The sequence below is a fragment of the Homo sapiens genome, chromosome 13 (genome assembly GCF_000001405.40).
Source record: "Homo sapiens chromosome 13, GRCh38.p14 Primary Assembly".
Taxonomy (NCBI): Eukaryota; Metazoa; Chordata; class Mammalia; order Primates; family Hominidae; genus Homo; species Homo sapiens.
In genome coordinates, this window is record NC_000013.11 from 39,891,523 (window position 1) to 39,914,417 (window position 22,895).

Genomic DNA, 22,895 nt, shown 5'->3' on the forward strand with positions numbered 1-22,895 from the left:
TGCCTTGAGTTGGCCGTGTTTAGGATGGAAAGACTTCTAGCACCCTACTAGAGGCTGTAGAATTTGGAAAGCAAAGACTTCTCAGCTCATCTGGTGAGATGGATTTACTGGGTAATTTAAAAAAATTATATGGGTGTGTTCATTTCTCTTGTTCATTCATCTTAGTGGCCAGGTATACTTCCTGCAGTTTAAAGTTGAATGAGTCAGCTATAATTTGGGGTAAAATTATCGGTTTATCACAGTGTGCAAAGGTGCCCAATGAATACTGAGTTTAAGGAAACAGACATGTATCTTTAGGACAGTGACAGAACAAATTGAACATTTGCAAGTACTCAACATTTTGTGAAACATTTTCATACGTATTTTGTCATTTGATTTTACCCCAAGATTTGAAGTGCAGGAATTCATCCCATTGTGCAGTTGAGGAAACTGAGGCTCAGAAAGGCTAGTTCTTAATTACAGAGCTGTAAGTAGTGGGGCTGAGACTTGAGTCTTACTATTAGAAATTCTGTGCTCTTGTCACTAGGCTATGCTACCCTGTCTGCAGCTAGAGCAGTACACCCTCCAGCAGACATTTACTATGTGCATTCTAAGTGTCAGATATTGTACATGGCTCTGAAATCTGTGTTCCTGCTGCTCCTATGTGCTTAGTAAAATGGTGCTAATAAACTGCAAAACACTTTACTTTTTGGCCATTTAAAAAATTTCATTAGAGAAATACATACAAATGCCTGTTTTGTTTTGCTATTTTTGCCTTCATTTTCGTGTGCATGTAGAGACCCATTTTAGCTTTTATCATAAATGTGGTACCAATATACCTCACAAAGATAATCATAACACCTCCTGGGAGGTACTTGGGAGTTTACCTAATCCAAATTTTTCATCTTTAGAGATAAGAAAATTAACACCAAAAGCTTCAAGAAAATTGTCTAAAGGCACACAGCTAGTTAGACGCTGAGCCAGGACTGGAAATCAAATGTCTGATTACAGGTTTAGTTTATTCCTCCTGGAAAAGAAATAGTTTTTAGCAAAGTGTAGTTGGTTTTATATTAATACTTTTTTTTCCTTGACATCTTTTAAAAAGGGATAGGCTAAAAAGGGATGCTTTTATGTTGAATATACGTGTGTGTGTGTGTTTGTCTGTGTGTCTGTGCGTATGTGTGTGTATTCCTGATGTAAACATACAAGAAGATTAACAATTAAGCATATTCATCCAGAAGAAGAGGGAAGAACTCAGATCAGCTCTGTTCTGTGTTATATTTGTCTCTCCTAATCAAAACCATATGAGAAGCTAGAAAAGAACCCAGAGCCCAGTATGACTGCCAAAGATGAAGAAGAGACAACAGAGAAAGAAAAATGAGGGAAGAGTGAAGCAGAGACCCCATATTATTTCCAACATTTTAGCACACGCTCGCACTTCCATTCTTTATCAGATAAGAATGTTTTGCACACATTGGGCCAATTTACGCTGCACAGGAAAGCCTGTAGCTGTGCTCTCGGCCCACCACTTCCTGTGGGAGTCAGCAAAACAGGCTCAGCCCTTCCATTCCTTTGACCAAAATGCTTCCAAGTCCTAGCTAGGAAGGGCCCCATTGCTTATCTGGCCATTTGATGGAAGGAGTCCACAGTCAACTCTTGGCAGTCATTAGGAAAATAGTGTCCATTTCTCAGGTATCTTTTCCCACTCTGTGTGTGTGTGCGTGTGTGTGTGTGTGTGAATAAGAAAGCTTAACCTTTTTTGGGCTCACTGCACTCCAGTGCCTCACTATTCATGCAAGTTAATTCTTTACAGTTGTAATGATCTCTTCCCTTGTCCCACGACAATGTAGGTCTTCAGGTGCAGGGAAAGGTCTTCTACCCACCGGAACCAACTTTCACCCCACCTCTTCACTGCTACCAGAGTCCCTCTTCAGAGGGGCTCTACTTCGCATTCTGGGATGCAGAGACTCACAGTGTTTCTTTCCAATACATCATCCTAGGAGAGGAAAAAATCATTGGGAGGCTGCCCATTGAGATCCACTCTTTGGAGTCTCATTCCGAAACCAGCTTCTCCTGAGGCCAAGTGGCAAAGACAGATAAATAATATGGTGTCATTTAATTTACTCTAAAATAGTATTTAAAAAGGTTTAGTTTATGATCATCTCCAGATGTTTTCGCAGGAGTCCTTACTTCTCCTGCATCCCTCTCACACTGGTCATCCCTATTCTACTGGTTCTATATCTCATAGTTTGTTTCCTAGGTGCCACCGTCACCAAACAACTGCTAAGGATTTCTGTCACCCGTCTTCCTCTTGGTGTCTCTGCGGGTCTGAGATGGGAATGGGGAGAAGGAGCAGCTGGCTCCCCTGATTTAAAATCCCTGTCCCTGGAGCTGCCATTCTGCTGGGGCTTTTCTTGAAGGATTTTCTCTGAGGGCTCTTGTCCCTCACCCCAACCCAAATAGACTCTTGTGAAAAACAGAGCTCTAGTTGGAAGGCTCTTTTGGCAGACTGAGTGCCCTCAGAGTCTTTTGGTCTCCTTGCAATAAGGGAGCTCTCCCCAGAGCTGATTCTAGGCCAATTCTAAGAGTACAGGAAGAAAAATGGAAATTTTTCATTCAGGGATTGAGCCCCAGGAGGTGAAAGAGTGCTCCTGTCATCTGCATAGTTAGTATAGGAGAAGAAAAGCACCATTTTCTCACCAAAGCTAGGTTTGTGGCTGAGGCCTCTATAACAAAAGGCTGATAACGAGAGAAAAGCATACAAATGTATTTAGTATAAGTTTTATGTGGCACGAAAGCCTTCATAAGGAAATAGAGACACAAAGAAATAGTAAACTTGTGTATTTTTATGCTAAGTTTGATGAAGAGTAGACAGTTGTGGAAGAATATGCTTGGATCTAATAACTGGGGGGAACTTAGCAAGACTCGTTTGTTTAGATTCTTCTCTGTGACCCTGTATCTTCAGAGATAAGGCTATGCCTTTTCTCTGGGTATAGGGAGGGCACCTCATGAATGAGGGTCTCATGCCCTGCATCCGGGGAAGGTCAGAAAATGCTTTTTAGGTTTTATGACCTGCTGCAGGTGAGAAAGGTGGGGGGAAGATCAGAGTGACCTTCCTGCTTCTGCAGTTTTCTAAAATTCTTTCAGCTTAAAATATTCTGGGGTAGTGTGTCCTGAACCCCATCAACAGTGGGAAACACAGGACCAAAAAGACTCAGATCTGAAATTCAACCCACTGTTCTTTCCAGCATCCCAGTTCTGGCAGCACCGAGCGGCAGGGAACACAAATGGGAGAGCTGGGCTGGGCGAGCTTCCTGTTCGGAGGACTTGGTCCTTTGGTTTTTGATTATATTTCTTACTGAGTAGAAAGAATTATTTATTTTCATTAGGAAATCTGGAGGAGTAAAAGGCCTAGAAAGCATCGGTGGGGATTGTATAATTTATAACAAACTCCATGGGGGGCAGGGCACAGGAAAAGAGAATGACTGATGCGATCAAAAATTCCAGAAATGAAAGCAACCTAAAGATCTTCATAAATATCAGAAATCAAAGATCCTAAAGATATTCTTGCCCAGTATTTTCAACATTTTAAAACTGATTTTCTCACACAACACTTTTTCAATGAAGCTTCTATGCATCTCTACAACCCGAGATAATTTTCAGTAATTTCACTTCTTATAGTTTGGGACATAAAAATATGCACCCTTATAGATTCTTCTGTGTCCCTAGAGGTACAAGGTACTTTTCTTCTCCACATCCGTGGAAATCTCTGTAGCACAATCCCTGTAGCAGATGAAGAAAAATGCCTACAGATGGCCTGCCTCAAATCCTATAGCTGGTTAGCTGGCTGCCCAAGATAAGAACACATGTTTCCTGTCTTCCAGTCAAGAGCTTTATCGTCTATAATATTCTGTGTCCCTACAGTTCAAGTGTATCAAGAATGTGAGATGTACTTAAGAGTTTTCAATTCTTCAAATTCTTTAGAGTGCTCAAAATATTTCCTTGGAAAGAATTATTCGAAGCATCTTCTGGAAAACAAGCACATAGTATATCCATCATCCAAATGGTTCATTAGTCAGAGAGAGAAGCATTGATATTAGAAGCAGAGGATAGAGCCTCAGCCAAAACTTCAATCTGCCTCTGAACACAGGAGAGGGAAGTCAATGAGGATGAGAGTCACAGAAAAGAAGACACAGTGGCCATTTGAATTTGGCATGATAAAAACTGATGAACATATAGCCCAAAGCAGTATAAGGCACGATTCCTAGGTTTAAAATTTTAAGAATAAAATAACCCAGACAAGTGAAATGATAATTATTAAATGCTTATAAGTACCCCCAGGAATCTTCAGAAATTTAAACCACACTCTATAATTAATACATATGGGATTTTTTTTCTTTTAAGACAAGAAAAGTACAATTGTACTGAGAACACACAAAGGAAAATAGGAGAGTTCACCTTGAAAGATATAAAATGCATGTCCCTCTGAGAGTGAGAAAGAAGGTGGGCTCTGACCAGAGGAATCCTGAGAACTACAAGTGACAAGAAAGGACAGCAGTCCCTGGAAGGAATGTGAAGGTGTAAGGATTAGAGGGACTTCCAAGGCTTTTGTAAAAGGAATAGAGAGAAAAGAAACAGGAGGTCCATTAGTAAGAAGAAAGATGGATTTAATGATGAAAATAACATTATTGAGATAATTAACCGCATCAATAAATTTCTCTATTAAAAAGAAGAAAGAAAATATATCCCCAGAATCCCCTGGAATCTTTTCTTTTTGGGGGGGTTGGAGGGAGCAGAATCTGAACCTTTTTACAATTGGACACAAGTAAACAAGCAAATTTTACAATAAAATGAGTTCCAAAGCAAGCAAAATTTATCTATGGTATTAGAAGTTGAGGGAAGGTTAGCTTGGGGAGGAAGGACCGGGACTTCTGGGACACTGGCAATGTTGTTTCCACACCCTTGTGGGGTTATGAGAGGGGTGGTACTTGATGAAGATACGTTGGGCTGGATACTGTGACCCATATGCTTTCTTAGATGTGCTACACATTAGTAAAAAGTAAAAATCAAAACAAAATACAATGAAAGTTTAAAAAATGGTAAATATGGAAACTATCATGATATATAAACCAGAATCAAACGTGGGGTATTAAGAATAAGTAATAATATGGTGAGTGGCTCACATATGTAATCCCAGTGCTCTGGGGGGCTGAGGTGGGAGGATCACTTGAGCCCAGAAGTTTGAGGCTGCAGTGAGCTATGATTGTGCCACTGCACTCCAGCCTGGGTGACAGAGCAACACTCTGTTTTTCTCTCTCTAAAAAGAATAGAATAATGGAATTATAAAGCAGCACAAAGATATTTTAAAAATTGCTAGATTAAAAAAAATTGCTAGAAAGCTGAAGATCAAAAACAAAGCAATAAATCAGGGTACAACCATATCCTACCTTGTCAATTAATATATTCTTGTACAAATTATATATATATATTTTTCCAGTGGATATTTCTCATGGATAGGAATTTATATCCTAATTGAAAGTAAATCATCATATTATAATTTTTCTTTTTTACAACCCAAGTTTTCAAAGATATAATTTGTTTAAATTGAAATGTTTCCAAATATGTAGAAAGGAATAAAATAATATAGCCATATGTGACTTATAAGAAAAGACTATTCAATCAGCCAAAAATAATTTGATTGCTAATTGTGTGGCCAATTCAATACTATTTATCATTGAGCATATAAAAGAAGCAAAGGGTTTTTTTTTCTATTAAGAACAACTAATCTAACTGAGAAGGGAAGACTAACAAATATAAATAGCACACGAAACTACGTTGTTCAATTTTATGTCTATATAAGTGACAGTAGGAGTGAAATAGTATGACCTTATGGTGTCTTAGAGTATGATTTTGATTCTCTCTTCCCCTAAACATATTTTGAAATGTTGAAAAATTATTGTATTGACTGAAATTTGTATAGATTATAAACCAAGGGTCCTCTATTTTATAGAAATCATTGGATGGAGATCAAAATTAGATGTCACCTTCTTAAACAGATTCATTAAATTTTCAAAGAAGTAATGTACAACCATTAAATTTGCATTTGGCTCAAAAACACAACATTTTGTGAAAACCCTAGAAAGTTTAAAAACGGGAGAGGGGAGGAAATAGGGGGAATCTCTCAAGTTGAACGTCAGTATCACTGGGAGTCAATTACAAACACCATGAGTGGGAGGGAATTGGTCAGGACCAAGTGCCAAAAGCAATGTTGGGGTTAGAGTGTAAAGCAAATTACGTTAGAGATGGGAACATGACTTAGCAAGCAATGGTAAAAAAAATAACCAGAATCTGTGTCTCTGTCTAGCCAGTAACAAAACCTCCCACACTGAACGTGAAAAGAAATAGTGCAGAAGGATGAGCAATAGGTCATCTAAACATCCACATTTCAGCCTTGTTTCTAACCCACATTGGTGAGTGAATTAGAGGTTTTCCCTCAGTCCAGTTGACTTCCGGCTGACTGTGTTAGGTTGAATAATGGCCCCACAAAAATATCTACATTGTAGGCCTCAAAACCTGTGCATACGATCCTATAAGGCAAAAGAGACTTTGCAGATGTAATTAAGTTAAGGCTTTTGAGATGGAAAGGTTCAGGGGGCCCAGTGTAATCACAGTGGTCCTTGTAAGAGTGGGGCAAGAAGGTCAAAGGAGGAAGTAGGAGATGTGGCAATCACAGAACTTAGAGTGATCTGGGGAACAGATCAGGGACCAGGGAAAGTACACTGCCTCCAGAAGCTAGAAAAGGTAAAGGAATAGACTCTCTCCTAGATCCTCCAGAAGGAACCAGCTCTGAGAACAACTTGACTTCAGCCCAGTGAATCTGATTTTAGGCTTCTGACCTTCTGAACTGAGAGGGAATACCTCTGTGTTGTTTTAAGCTGCTAAGTTTGTGGTAATTTGTTACAGCAGCATTAGGAAACTAATACATTGAGTAAGATGATCAATTGAATTAGGCTTAGTTTTCCCTAGGATATTTCTCATGCGGGGTATTTAATTAGTACAATGCTTTGGCAGAGTGACAGGTAGTTAGTTCACAGCTAAGCAATGGCTTCTTTCAGAGGATTTCTTAGGTAATTTTTCTTAAATTTTTTCTGCTTAATTTGTGGCTTTAGAGTCTCTACACTTGGAGTTTAATTAAATCCAGGATGGAGCCTTTGGTATTATCAGCTTCTTGGATTGTTACAAAAACCCATTCACTGGTTAGGTTTCCTGAAATTCTTGTCTATCAGTATTCATGGCCTGACTCCAGAATGCATGGGGACTGATACTCAAACTCCAGGAAAAAAAGAAATTGATCACATGGCTTAAGAAAATTCCTACATTTGGAAAATTGTAGATTAAAATATCAACACTTAAGGATCTTAGGGTATTTCCATGGGGATCCTTTGACTCAAATGTCTTTTTTGGTATGTGATTTGTTCCCCTCCTCACCGCAGCAACAAAAATGTTAAAAGAATACTTAAAAAAAAAAGAGTTTATCTATTAACATGTTTTCCCCCTCTTGAGGACAGAAACCATGAATTATTTTGGTTCCACAGACAGTAATTGACTGCCTACTTGATAGTAGGTGACTGAGACTTATTTTTCAAGGAAGGAAAGGAAAGAAGGACAAAGAGTGATGGGAAGAAGAAAGCTCTTTTTTATATCTCCTTTGACACTGAGTGAATGGGGGAGCTGGGATGAATTTCATCAGTCAATATCTACAAGATTTTAAAATTCACTTATACAAAGTGTTGTGTTTACCTGCCTAGAAGCTTACTTCTGAGCCTAGATTGAAGGATAAAAATTAATGCTTTGGGTATTGAGAAATGGTGACAGAAAATGGCAGTGTTGTTGAAGAAAGTTTCAAATAATATTTGAAATACATATTTTAGCTATCTTAAATCTAAATAACTGGTTCCATGTTTTTGTGACTTTCTTTATAAAACTCGACTAACTATAGGCAGAGCCTTAGGGAAGAGTCCCATACATTGCCTAGTTATGAAAATATTGGTGTAAGAAGACACTTTCCAATGCTTCTGGAAACTTCAGTAGAATGAAAAGAACTAATACAGTAAAAGAAAAGGGTTATTGCTTAAATATGAAGGGCTCTATATATACTTTTTTTTTCCCTGTATAGAGACGGGGTCTCACCATGTTGCCCAGGCTGATCTTGAACTTCTGGGCCTTAGTGATCTGCCCACCTCAGCCTCCAAAAGTTCTCGGATTACAGGCAGGAGCCACCATATCTGGCCTGTATGTACTAATTTTTGAATTCAAATCTTTAGTTGGAATGGCACTAAAAAGAGAAACAATTAAATATGGAAACAGTAAGTACTTGAGTTATTAATGAATTGATGCGGAAACAAAGCCTACAAAGCCTTTATTCCATTGAAAGAGAATACAGACAGAATAAAGAGATGGAAATAAAGAAGTAGGCTTTATTCAGCTGCTATTCCTTAGTGGGCCGTGGGATTTGTAGCGCCACACAAGGATGACACCCCACATAGACAGAGGTGGTCTACACCACTTGCACACAATTTGTACATGGTATGGCATTGGGCTAGCCTTGTGTTCCACCTGAAGAAGGGAATCCTGCCCCCTCCGACACAAGGGAAGGCATCTTTCTGGCAGAAAGAAACACTGGTAAGTCAGGAGACCTGGATTCCAGTCCAACTTCTTCTCCCTCGCTGCTGTTTCCTCTTTTGGAACACGAGAGGCCTGAATCTGATGACTCCTGGGGTTCTTTCCTATTCTGAAATTCTCTAACTTTACACTTGGCCTGGAGAACAGTGTTGTCCTTTAAAAGGAATTTTTCTCCCTGTCAGGTTCTCCTGCCCCAAATGTTTCAGGTCCTGATTTGTACACAATAAGGAGCAAAAGGCATCTCCTTTTGATCCTGTGGTTAAAAATATTTAGTTCTTTGGTGTTTGAAATGTTCTCTCCAACTAAACATTGTAACCTTGACATAGCTTGATTTGCACTTAAATATAAACATACTATTGGCAAGACCTCATGAAATAACTGACTTACAGCAACCTTGGAGTTGGCAGCATAACATAACAGATCAAGTTTCTCATTATCATTCCATGCAAGATAAGAGAATTTTCCTCTCATTCAGCTGAGTTTCCGTGCCTTTGTTTGTTGAGTACTAGGTAGTGAGAGCTTTAAAATGCTCAACATCATATTCTGTGATGTGAATTTCAGCAGCCTATTTGGGGGAGTTATTTTTAATCTCTTAATACATGATTACTGTGACCATTTTCTCCTTATCATTGTCTTAGATTTAATTCACAACTGGTGTGATTATTCTTTCTGGTTGTGATGCTAGTCTATTAAGGCTTTGAATCATGAATGCAGCCTTGTAGGTTAAAAAGCCAACAAAATTGCTTTTGATGGGATAAGATTATGAGTGTCCCTGTGGGTTAGTGAGTTTTTAAAAATTTGTTTGCAAGGCCACATAAGTTAATTATCATAAAATAGGTACAAGTGGTCTTGCAGTTCAATTGGAAATTGTAACAAAAATATGAAAGTATGAAGTAAAATGCACCATAACAGAAATGAATTGCATTGCTTCACAAAAATCTTACACAAAAACTTAACAAGCATTTCCATCTTATAAAATAAAATAAGATTCCGTCAGTAAGGTTTGGAGAGATTAGTTCTTAGCCCAGGTTATTCTCCTTTTTACATGATCCTTTCCTATACTAGCTACAGAATTGCAGAAAAATACTCCCTGGAGAGTGAGCTGGCTCACTTCCAATATTCAAATGTCCAGGTAAGGACTATTTGTCCCTCTCAACTTATAATCTTGTTAAATTGTGAGCAGCAGCCTCTGAAGACAGTGTCTCAATTTACCAAAACTATTAAAAATGTGTTTAGAGATATCTAGGAACCAGATGGCAGAATAGGACCTTTTAATCAATCTTCCAGGTGATAAACTGAAACTTACCATCTTTTCCTTCTCTTCTTTGTTCTCATCACTAACTTCAAAACAATGCATCAATCCAAACAGTTTAATTCCCTTATTACTCACCCAAACCACCCCAAAGTGTGAATTTCCCATCAGTTAATAAATAAATTGCAAGACCTTGAAAGAGAATACAGACAGAATAAATAAATGGAAAGATGCTCAGTGGTAAAGAAAAAGTTATTCTGACACTTGTTAAAATGGTAAGAAAGACTGGAAGACTTTGTTCAGGACTCTTGCAATAGGTGTTAAGACAATTGCAACAGAGGAGAGAGACTGAGCTCAACTCCAGATAGAGCAGAGACAGCTGGGGCTTTGTAGCCAATGAGCAGAGTGAGGGCTTCAGTGGATGGAACACTACTAAGGGGAGACATCAACGGTAGGAGGGATTCTTGCTAAACTGACTTAACAGGATTCTTGCTGAAGGCAGGTCAAGGGCTTATATATCAGAAGTAGGGGAAGAGGAACTTGATCAGATATCAAGGGTAATCAGACATCAAGGGTAAGAAATTTTCTCTAAAGTGACTTAGCAGGATTCTTGCTAAGACTGGCCTTCTGCAGGTTTGGCAAGAACAGGAGCTGAGGCTGAAGTCCAGTCCAGAGAGGGCTCGGAGAGGCCTGACTAAACTTTGGTCAAGGAGAGAATCTTTGTCATCAGTAAGTGGTAACTGTTACTAACAGAGCGACATCTTGACTTTGTCACTTGTCTGTCTGTCGATTTATTTCAGAGCACTCACATATCAGCTCTATTTTCTCTCCCATTTTTGCTGCTTTGGAATTTAATGGCTGAATTTAATATTCACTCTACCAAAATTCTACTACAAGTAATTAATTGACACATCCCAGGGAGGTGGATGTGATAGAATTTTAACTGCATCCCTGAAAATTATATGTTGCCATTTATAAGTTAAAAACCTGATTTGAGAGAGTTTCAAAATTGAGTCATTTATAGAGTCAAAAATTGTATGCTTTTACTCCAAAGACATTGGTTTGTGGAAGATGTTACTTGTCGAAGAAAAGATATTGTGTGCTAATAAAAATCAATAAGCTTCAAGGCCGGGTGCAGTGGCGCATGCCTGTAATCCCAGCACTTTGGGAGGCCGAGGCAAGCGGATCACTTGAGGTCAGGAGTTCGAGACCAGACTGGCAAACATGGTGAAACCCCATCTCTACTAAAAATACAAAAAATTAGCTGGGCATGGTGGCACATGCCTGTAATCCCAGCTACTCAGGAGGCTGAGGTGGGAGAATCACTGGAACCTGGGAGGTGGAGGTTGCAGTGAGCCGAGATTGCGCCACTGCACTCCAGCCTGGGAGACAGAGTGAGACTCCGTCTCAAAAAAAAAAAAAAAAAAAAAATTAATAAGCTTCAGAAAGCCACTCAGAAGTTGATCATTTGAGGTTTGTGTGAATTTTAATCCTATCACAAACTTGATTTGATAAGGTAGGAAACTTAAATTATCTACCTTAATTTCTTCATCTATAAAATGAGGATCATCATATAACACACGATTAATTTTTATATGTAATTATGGTAGAAGTAAGTGCTTCTGAAAGACTAACCTCCAAAGAAGATATATCCCTATTTAGTAAAATGGGATAAAATCACTTCCAGCCTGGAGCAGGCAGTGGGTGAGATGGATTCTCATGGTGCACGCATCTCTATGATTTTGTAAGTCTATGATTGCCCCGGATCTGGTAATGTCACTAGTTTTGAGTGGCATTGAGGGGCATAAAGAGAAGGAATCATGGTTATGGGGGAAAAAACAATCTCAATCTCCAATTTATCATCCCAGCTGATAAAAATTTGCTTCTATTCAAATTTGAAAGGGTACATATTTTTAAAAACCAAAAACATTTACTGGATGATTACAGAGCTGTGACAATAATGAAGCCAAATCAAATTGGACAAATATTATCCAGTACATAGAAGGCCCTTGGTAAATGTTTGTTGAATTAAATCTGAATATGAATGATTGCAAGGTATTTTGGAAATAAAAAACCATGAAATATTAGATATCAAAATATAAGAACCTAGTATTATTCAGGAAAAACTAAAAATCTAAATCTTACATGATTAGATTCCTAATCAATGATTCATCTCATTAGATTTTCTGAGAAATATTTAATTAATTAATATAAAGACTTTGGATTTTATTTATTTATTTATTTGAGACAGAGTCTGACTTTGTCGCCCAGGCTGGAGTGCAGTGGTGTAATCTCAGCTCACTGCAACCTCCACCTCCTGGGCTCAAGCCATGCTCCCACCTCAGCCTCCCGAGTAGCTGGAACTACAGGTATGCACCGTCATACCCAGCTAATTTTTGTATTTTTTGTAGAAACAAGATTTCGCTATGTTGCCCAGGCTAAGATTTTGGATTTTAAAATGATGTTTTGAATGTATTTTCTTGCCTTTTAGCTTGTGTTATTAGTTCATACATATTAGATATTTATCAGCAAATATTTATCGAGTGACTACTAGGTGTTAGGCACTATTCTAAGCATCAAGGAAGCAGAAGTGAACAAAACAGAAGTAAAATTCTATCCTCATGGAACTTATGTTAGAGTGGTAGAAACAAGTAAACATATATGTGTTATATAGACTGTCAAATGCTAATAAGTTATATTAGAGAAAGGTAAAACAGGGAAGGGGGAATGTGTTTTCATTAGAAGCAGTGGTCAGGGAAGCCTCCCTGAGAAGACACATCTGAGTAGTAACTGTTATTAACAGAACAATGTCTTGACTTTGCCATTTGTCTTTTTGTTAATTTATTTCAGAGCAGTCACAAATCAACTCTATTTTCTCTCCTTTTTTGTTGCTTTGAAATTTGATGCCTAAATTTAATATTCACTCTATTAAAATTCTACTACAAGTAATGAATTAACACATTCCATGGAGATGAAGGGTGGGGGCAGGGAGGAATGTAAGCCCTCGGAGTATCTGGGGGTCTCGCACCCCAGCCTTCCAGGTAGAGTGAACGGCAGCACCTGAAGAGGCTCCATGCTCTGGGTGTTTGAGGATTACAAAGAAGTTGCCATGGGCTGGAGTGGAGTGAACAGGGATGAGGGCAAAAGAACTTAGAGCAGAGGATAATATGGAATCCAACTGCATGGGATCTTTAGGTCAATATCAGAATTTGAGCTTTTAATCTGAAATGGGTGGCCATTCCAGTTTTGTAGGTATTTGTGTGTGTGTGTGTGTGTGTTTGTGTGTGTGTGTGTGTGTGTGTGTTAGTCAGGGTTCTCTAAAGGGACAAAACTAATAGGATATTTGTATATATGAAGGGGAGTTTATTAAGGAGAATTGACTCACATGATCACAAGGTAAAGTCCCACGATAGGACATCTGTAAGCTGAGGATCAAGGAAGCCAGTCCAAGTCCCAAAACCTCAAAAGTAGGGAAGCTGACAAGGCAGCCTTCAGTCTGGGGCCGAAGGCCCGAGAGCCCCTGGCAAACCACTGGTGTAAGTCCAAGAGTCCAAAAGCTGAAGAACTTGGAGTCTGATGTTCGAGGGGAACGTGGAAGAAAGATGAAGGCCAGAGGACTCAGAAAGTGTGCTCTTTCCACCTTCTTCTGCCTGCTTTACTCTAGATGCTCTGGCAGCTGATTAGGTGGTGCTCACCAGATTGAGGGTGGGGCTGCCTCTTCCAGTCCACTGACTCAAATGTTAATCCCCTTTGGCAACACCCTTAAGACATATGCAGATACAACACTTTGCATCCTTCAATCCAATCAAGTTGACACTCATTGTTAACCATCACAATGTGGTAACATAGACATGACATAAAATTTACCATTTTAACTGTTTTTAAATGTACAGTTCATTGCCATTAAGTAAACTCACATTGTTGGGCAACCATCACCACCATCCATCTCCAGAACTTTTTTATCTTCTCCAACTAAAACTCTGTACTCTTTAAACAATAACTCCCCATTGTCCACTATCCCCAGACTCTGGCAACTACTATTCTGCTTTCTGCCTCTATCTGTCTGCCTATTTCAGGTACATGATATAAGTGGAATCAAACAATGTTTTTACTTTTGTGATTGGCTTATTTCAGTTAGCATAATGTCCTCCAGATTCATCCATGTCGTAGTGTATATCAGAATTTGATTACTTTTTATTGCTGCATAATATTCCATTGTGTGTGTGTATATATATATACATATATATAGTATATATAGTATATATATACATACTATATATATGTATATATATATACACACACACAATGGAATATATGTTATATATATAGAGTTTGTTTATTCATCCATCCATGGATGCTCGGGTTATTTCCATCTTCTGGCTATTGCTCATAATGATGCTATGATCACTAGTATACAAACATCTGCCTGAGTCCCTGCTTTCACGTCTTTTGAGTGTATACCCAGAGTTGAAGTCATTTGAGACTTTTGAACAGACTGGTGACTTAAGTTTTTACTGTATTACTCTGGCTGCTGTGAGGAGAAGAGGCTGTAGAGAGACAAGGGTGAATGGAGGTGACCTAGTAAGAAGATAATTATTATTGAATCCTGAATATAGTTTGAAGGAGGAGCCCACAATGTTTGCTGCCAGATAGGTTGTTGAGAGTGAAAGAAAGAGAGGAGTCAAGGATGAGTCCAAGATTCTTTTTCTATTATACTAAAAGTGTTCTTTACATGCCACAGGGAAATAAAAGAAGATTGGCCCATAAAAGTTTCTAAAGCTTCTAAATGCGTAAATATTATATATTTCTGCATATTTCAGTAACATACTGCATTTGCGTGACAGATTCACTAGAAGATATAAGGCAGTCTTTGCATCGACATGGCTCCCACAAGTTTATGCTTGGTCATATACGTGTCTGTGTGTGTGTGTGTGTGTATACACACATATATACATAGTGGAGATCATTGAGGCTTTATGAGATCTTATGAGAAGCAAGAGATAAATGTCATGTGCAAATATAACACATCCTAAACAATCATAACCTAACATGGTTTGAATGTCTACGACTCTCACATTAGTTTGATTTATTTTTTAACCAACATATTAGAGCTAATATCCAAATGTTTATTTTATATTAAAAACTTTCATTTTAATACTAACAGGCCCACATCATGTTCTAGTATAAGAAAGCTAAGGTTATGAATCAACTCAAGGTTCACTAGCTTGGCTGCTATTTCCCGTTACCCATCATGCACACAAATGTTCTGGAATTGTTAATTATGAAAAAAATACATCTCAAAGTTCAAGGAGAGTGAACAAAAGCACCACCATTTATTGAGGCCTTTGGCTCAGTGCTTCGCATGTCTTATTTTATCACCTCAGACGCCCCAGAAGTCTACACAATCATTTTGAAGAGGGGGAGACTGGGCCTCTGAGAGGTTAAGTAACTTGTCCAAGATCCCAGAGCTAACAGATGGTGAATCTTTTTGAGACAAATACTTTGAGCTAATAATCTGGAGACTGGTTGAGAATTCAACCTCATCAGTCTCCAAAGTCTGTTTTATGCAAGATACAGCTAGAGTGTAGATAGGAGAGGAGTTTTATCAATACCTGTACCCACTACCACCCAATACCTCTACCACAACAGTTATGATAGAGTAACTTGGAATTGGAGGCTTCATCTCCATTCAAGCAGATGGCAGCAGCAAGAATGTCTTTTCTGAGATCTGTGAGTTTCTCAAAACGATCTTTCCTTCCAGACACTCAGTGACACCACAGTTCCTCCAGTGATGTTATCTGGGAACGGCAGGTGAGGCAGCTAGGTTTTCACCGTGGGAAACTCCTGTATAACAGATGCAATGTGGAACCAATAGTGCTACTCCCTCAAAATCCATTCTAACTCCATACGTGGTCATGGAACAGTTAGGTATTCCAGGCAACTAACCGTTCCTGCCTTGACTTATTGAGATAATTGCCTTCTGAGGGTAGTGCAGGCCTACTGTTGATGAATATGTCTGTGCCTATTAGATGAATAACATCTAGTTCTTATTGTGCAGTAGTACAAAATAAAAAAAGACAGCAATTGAACCAAATATAGAAAATGTGATTAACCACACAACGGGCTATGATCAGAACTACATGAAACCAAGCAAGAACAATATTCAGCCAGCCATCAACTGACTGAAGAGAAAGCAGGTGTGAACCCAAATATTCAACAGAAAGTGTCTCAGTCCTTATCCTTACTGCTCATGTCCTTTTTCATTAGTTCCTTCTTTTTCGTGTTTAAATCAGCCATCCTACACAAAAGTCTCTCCCTCACTCCTGCATTGCTTGACACACAATCTCATTTCTTCTTTTCTTCTTACACTAAACTTTCTAAAACGAAAGTTAACGTTCCCTGTCCTCATATCCTAACTCACTCTGCACACTTTGCAAACTGGCTTTGGCTTCAGTGCCTCTCTAAGGACTTCTATCTTAAATATACCTTAACTTACAAATGAATTCATAATCACATAATTAATTCTCTTCTCAATTCTTAGCTTACTGTCTATGTCATCACCTGCTAATCAATTATTCTCGTTGAATCATTCCCTTATCCTTTGGTTTCAATGGCCCTACATTCCTATTCCTTTTCTTGATATTTTATCAACCTCTTCCTAGTTTGCCTTAGTTTGCATGCTCTTTTGTTAAATTCAGTTCTGAAAAGTGAATTATCCCTAAGGTTCAGTTCTCAGCTCTCCCTTTTGGTCCCATTGCACAGTCTCAAATGGTGATGTTATTCATTCTCAAGGCTTAAGCAACAAATTTATCTTTATCTTAATTCCCGAGTTCTATGTATACATTTTCAATAAACTCTTTGGTATTTGAGTCATGGTGTTCATGGTGTTGATAACACCTGTTGTTGAGTAACCCAGGGAAAATCACAACCACTCTGAGAGCCCCTCTCCTCTTTAGTGAGATGAAGGGGTTAGATACTCATTCAGATTTCACATGAATGTCATCAGTTAAGGTTTTTGGTTGAAGACGGAAACAACCCTGGGTAGCTTAACAGAAAGTGAATCTGTCATAAGATATCTGGCAGTTTTAGGATTGTGAGTGAGACAGGGGAGACGGATTGAAGGACGGGAACAGAACATCCCCAGGAGTTTACAAAGCTAGAATCACAGACAACTCTCACTAAAGGGAAAGTTAGGCTCTGCGGACACACTGCACCTGCAGTCACTCCTGCCACAACCACGGGTTGTGCTGCCACCACTGCTGCCTCCAGCACTACGATTGTGTCTTGGGTGTCAGGAACGGACTCCCCCTGGCCACCATCCTAGCATCACATGCAAGATTCAGAGTCTCCAGTTGGACTATCCAAATGGCTGATCCTGGATCATGTGCCTGTGCCCTACAAGCCAGCGGAGAGAGGATCTAGATGACCCCAACATACAAAGGGATTTCCACCGATGGGATGGGAATTGACTGTTGCATAGCAAATCCTCCCTCCCAATATGAAATGTTTACTGCAGGTGTCTCAAAGCTACCTCAAACTCAAGACATTTAAAGCAAAATGCCATCTGTTACTCAGAAAACTTGTGTCTATAACATCTGCTGCGTGTACTCAGGATACATAATCTTGCTTAACAAGGTTTTACTTTAGCAGTAGTTGTTCAACTTATTCAGTAATTACATTGGGCAGATAATTAACGTTTTGATGACTTCTTTCTCTTCTTTTCCAGTCCCAGCACATAGGTTTTGTTCAGACATGATTAATGAATGTGTGATTTGAAGGTTAAAGTCAACACAAAGCAAATCTCAAGATATAGTTTGATTAATCCAGGATAAAATAATCTTGACTTGAATTCTTGCTCTTATGTGTGATTTTCATGACTATTTCTCCCTTGTAATTTTCAATGAGCTTCAATTACCAAGTAATGCTGTTTCAACTCCCTGAATGCTAATGACAGAGAACAGAACCTGGTGATTAAGGGCCTACCTTCTATTAGAAAGGAAGAACATACTGAAACAATGCTTTCTCTGGTCTTTTATTCTTTCAGTGTGAGGCAGATCACAACACTCTCAACACTTATAATAATAGTCATCTTTAAAAAGAATATTTAATTCAAATATTTAAACATCCTTGTATGTTGATGAAGGAAACACCCAATAAACTAAGCATGATTTGTACACATGCAGGTCTACAGATGAAGAGGAGGTGAAGGTGTGTCATTGCTCAAACAGACACATTTTCCTTTGCTTTTGATTATGAAACTCAGCATGTCCCTTGCATTCACGAAACAATAAAGGAGATAATGTGATGTTATTTGAACATCTATAAATATCCAGAGAGGATAATAAATGCCTTCACTACCTCTTAGCCCATGTGTTATGTGAATTTTCAGTGTCTGGCAGTTGTCACAGATGCACTTTATGGTTTTTAAACTTGGCATCTGATTACACACTCAGCGGACTCTTAACTGAATTACCTATTTGAAAATCCCAACCACCCACCTTATTTAAAATTAGAAACCGCTCCTACTACCCTGGTATCCCTAATCTCCAGACTGTGCTCTGCTTTTCTTCTTCCTTTTTTCCTATAGCAATTTATCACCTTCTAAAATACCATAGAATTTAATTTTATGTTTTGCTTATTGTTCATTTTCTGTCTCTTCCTGCTAAAAAGTAAGCCCTATGAGGGCTGAGGTCTTTATCTGTTTGATTCACTGATGTCCTAAGAACCTCAAACAATACCTGGCATATTTTAAGCGTGGAATTAATATCTCTTAAGTGAATAAGCAAACACCATGCAGATAACTGTGAGGCCAGCTGTGACACCTGAGACCTTGAGACATTTGTCTCTGATATGCTTCATTGCTGTGCTCATTTCCTGGTCTGTGCCCATGTTTCCCCCTATGTACAAACCTGCTTTTTCAAAGGTTCTCAAACTTGGTCACAGCAAACCTTTGATGGCTCCTCTCACAGTTTAATGCACTCCTATTTCTTGGTGTAATTGCATTTTACCAAGGATCACAGTCTCACATTGAAGGAATACAATTTTTAATTTTGACATTTCCACCATGGTTTTGTCTTTGCACAAGGTTTACATATTCCAGGACAGGGTAACTTTGATTTGAAGAGAAATAGACTCAGTGCTTCTGATTATTGTATAGGATTCCTAATTTATGCTTTTGTTGTGAACAGACATTTGTCCAAGGAGTTATGTCCTTTTTTTGAAGGTCTTACTAAAAACTCTGTGTGTGTGTGTGTGTGTGTGTCTGTGTGTGTAAAACAACCTAAGCATCAATCATAGTCTAATGACAAGGTACTTGGTATTTTCATCAGCTGCTCTGGAAGATCTGGACTTACTATTGTATAAGCATTGCTTTTCATTTACTTTCCTTCTTTTTAAAATCTATAAATTGCCATCATTGTCTCATGAAGTTTGATGTTGAATTATTTTAAGTTTCCTAACCAAATACAGTAAAACCATGCCTATCTGAAAGTCAAAACTGGAAACCACAACACCCTGGAATTGAGTCAATAAATGATCTAGCTGTTTTGAATCACCTAATTAAAAGTATCTTTTCAAGATCTCCCTCTTTTCTTCTTGCCAACTTTTATTATCCTGCTGGCTTTTGGCCTCCAGTGGAGGTTCTCTGGGGCAATCAAGTTTTGTGCAGCCACTTGGCCTGTGGTGTTGAAGGGAAGAAACAGCACAGCCCAGGAAGGAGAAGGGATGTGGCCAAGCCCAGAGCTGAGGAGAAAAGCAGGGCTGGAGGGGAAGCCAGGATGCCTACACTATTGTTTTAAAGGCTAATCTCATTATTAAATTTAAAAAGATCTCCTTAGTCTTTTGAGACCATTTGTGTTCCACCTTTACATTTGTCTTATTATTTGGCTTGGTATTAGAATTTAAACTAAAAATCTTTTTTTTTTTCACCCAATTTTGAAGGCATTTTCCATTGGCTTCTATATCCCTTTGTTGTATTTGTTTAAATTTGTGCATGTTTAAAAAACATTTCTAGAAGCTTTTAGATATTTTTCTTTATCGTTAGTGCTCTGAAATTTCTAACTGGTGAGTCTTGATGTGGGTCTTTATTCAAAAAAATTAAAAAGTTTTTTTTTTTTTTTTTTTGCTAAGCATTTGAAGAGGCTTTTCAAACTGGAGACTTGAATTTTTAAGTTTGAGAAATTTTCTTGTATAATTACTTTCTTGCATAACTTTTAATGAAATTCACCTTAAGGTGAGTGGATATGGACCTTGCTCTTTATTTGAGGGGCTCCTAAATGTCAGCATGCAGTGGAGGTCTTTGTTCTGGGTCACGCAGTTTCTCAAGAGACAAATTATTTAATCTCTTACCTGGAAGGCTTCAGTGTTCAGGCTGGCTGCTGATATTCTGAGACCAGAGAAGGGAAAGAAAAAGATTAAGGGCTTCACCATTCAGATTACAGATTTTCATTTACCTCCTTCTCATTCTCTTTTTTTCTCTATAGCGGTACCTGGAGCCCTCAAGTCTCCATCTCAGAGCCTTATTAACATTTTCTGGGGAAACTCCTCTGGTATCCTGAAGAGTTATGGTCACCTGGGTGCAGGTGTACAGCACATTCTGGAAGTTCTATGGCTCTGTTCACTGATTTTGACTAATGCTATTTCCAGCCCTGTACTTCACTCCCACCTTCTGTGGCACCAGGGGCCTCCAGTCCTGAGCCTTTCAGGGCTCTGCCGTCAAATTAGTACATCTTTTGCCAGTACTTAGCTGGTAGTTTCCTCCCTTCTGCTCCTTCACTGACTTTCTGTGTTTCAAAAAATTGCTGAAATCTTTCATGCACTCTACCTTTCTCTTGGTCCTTGTGAAATATAACTTTAAAAAATCAAAGTTCTTTGTTATTCTGTTAGTGGGGTTCAGGAGGGATTTCGAAAATAAGAGACAGTTTGCCATGTATAGCTGGAACTCTAATCAGTACTTTTCAAAAATGTTCTCTATTAGGGCCCTAAAATTTCTACTTCAATAGAAGATTGATGAGGAGGGAGATTGTGGAGTTTCAGTACAATGAATCTCTAACAATGCTTTAACCAGCATAGTTTTGTTTCATCAGTTTTGTGTAATGAGCTTCATGCAAGAAGTCTTTGAACAAGAAGTTCTGAAGCTAAAAATTATCTGAAAACTACTAGTGAAGATAATCTTGCACTTACATTTCCAATGTTAATGTTTGATGACTATATAATTTACTTATTCATTCAACAAAGAGTTATTGAGTTTCTTCTACTCTATGGCAAGTACTGGGCTAGGCACTGATGTTCTTTTACTTGGTATAAACAGATTTAATAAAAATGTTGCTTTGTATTGACAGATATTTTATTGTAATCACATATCTCACTTATTTGAAACACTACATAGATTAAATAAATTCAAGTGATTCCGACTAATTAGTATCCTACTTGAAGAGCAGACATCAGAATATTCCTTCAGCCTACTTCTCCAAATAATGACCTGGGGGACAAGAATGTCTTCTTTGCTTTGAGGTAAAAAGTAATGAAAACATTATGGTTTTTCTCTTTAAAACTTTCCCTCTAATTTGTATTCAAGTAACAACATAACCTTGATTTAGTTCAAATGATATAGCTGCTTGATCATTTGGGAACTGATTTTGCTTTAAGTTATATATTACCTCAATTTCAGATGAAGAAAAACAATTTTTAAATGTGCAGCTGGAAAATTACTCAGTTGGTAAGTGACGGCATCAGTCTTCCCCAGGTGGCACTTTCTCCAGTGCTCCCTAACTCCACAGATGGTATCACCCAGTGTCCCCAGGTTCTTACTTTGCTAGGGCTGCCATAACTAAGTACCACAAACTAACTGGCTTGAATGATAGAAATGTATTGTCTCACAGTCCCGGAGACTAGAAGCCAGAGATGAAGGGTTCAGTGGGGTTGATTCCTTCTGAGGAATGGAAGGGAGGGCCTGTTTCATGCCTCTGCCATAGCTTCTGGTGGTTTGCTAGAATCTTTGGGGCTACCTGGCATGTTGAGCGTCACCCTGATGTCTGCCCACATCTTCACATGGTGTTCTCCTTGTGTGCACGTCTGTCTTCAGATTTTCCCTTTCTATAAGGACACAGTCATATTGCAATAGAGCCCACCACAATGACCTCATTTTAACTTGATTACCTCTGTAAAAACCCTGTCTCTAAATAAGGTCACTTCTGAGGCACCATGGGTTAGGATTTCAACATATGCATTTTGTGGGGGGGACACAAGTCAACCCGTGACACTCAGAAAGTCGAGTATCATTCCTGATACTTCCCCATCTTTCTCTCCTCTCCACTTCTAATCGATCAGCGTATTCTGCCAACTTTACCTTAAATACACGTTGGATCTTGGTATTTCTCGCTATTCTTCCCCTGACCATTTTCATTCTTTCTCCCGAACTAAGGTAGTAACTTCCTCACTGGTCCCCTGCCTCCACTTTAGGTTTCTCTTAATCCATTTTCCATATGCAAGCCAGAGATCTTCCAAAAGTGCATATTTGATTATATCTCTCCTCTTCTTACAAAATTCAATGACTTCCCATTGCCTAAGGATAAACACAAAACTCCTTTATGTGGCTTACACACAATTTGGCTCCTGCCTCCCTCTCCAGCCTTGTCTCTATTTTATTTCTCTAGAGCTCTGAGCTAAGTCCAAACAGGAACTTCTTTCAGTTCCTTGATTACACCATGCTGTTGCCTCTAGGCTTTGAACACGCTGTTCTCAGTCTGGAACACTCCTCCAAACTTGATTCCCCAGACGCTTACTCATATTTTAGGTCTCAACTTTCATGTTGACTAGCTTCTGGAAGGCCAGCCCTCTACAGTGGGCTGACTGGTACCCCCAAAAAAGATATATCCACATCTTTACCTCTGGAACTTGTAAATGTTACCTTATTTGGGAAAAAAGTTCTCTGCAAATGTAATTAAGCTAAGGATCTTGAATGAAGAAATTCTCCTGGATTATC

General features: G+C 38.7%; 1 annotated feature.

Annotated features, from left to right (window-relative positions):
* Positions 1,350 to 1,644: an enhancer, noted in NCBI's record as "tiled region #6237; HepG2 Activating non-DNase unmatched - State 24:Quies, and K562 Activating non-DNase unmatched - State 24:Quies". NCBI's record gives its function as "activates a minimal TATA promoter and a strong SV40 promoter by Sharpr-MPRA in HepG2 and K562 cells {active_cell/tissue: HepG2 | K562}" and the evidence as "EXISTENCE:reporter gene assay evidence [ECO:0000049][PMID:27701403]".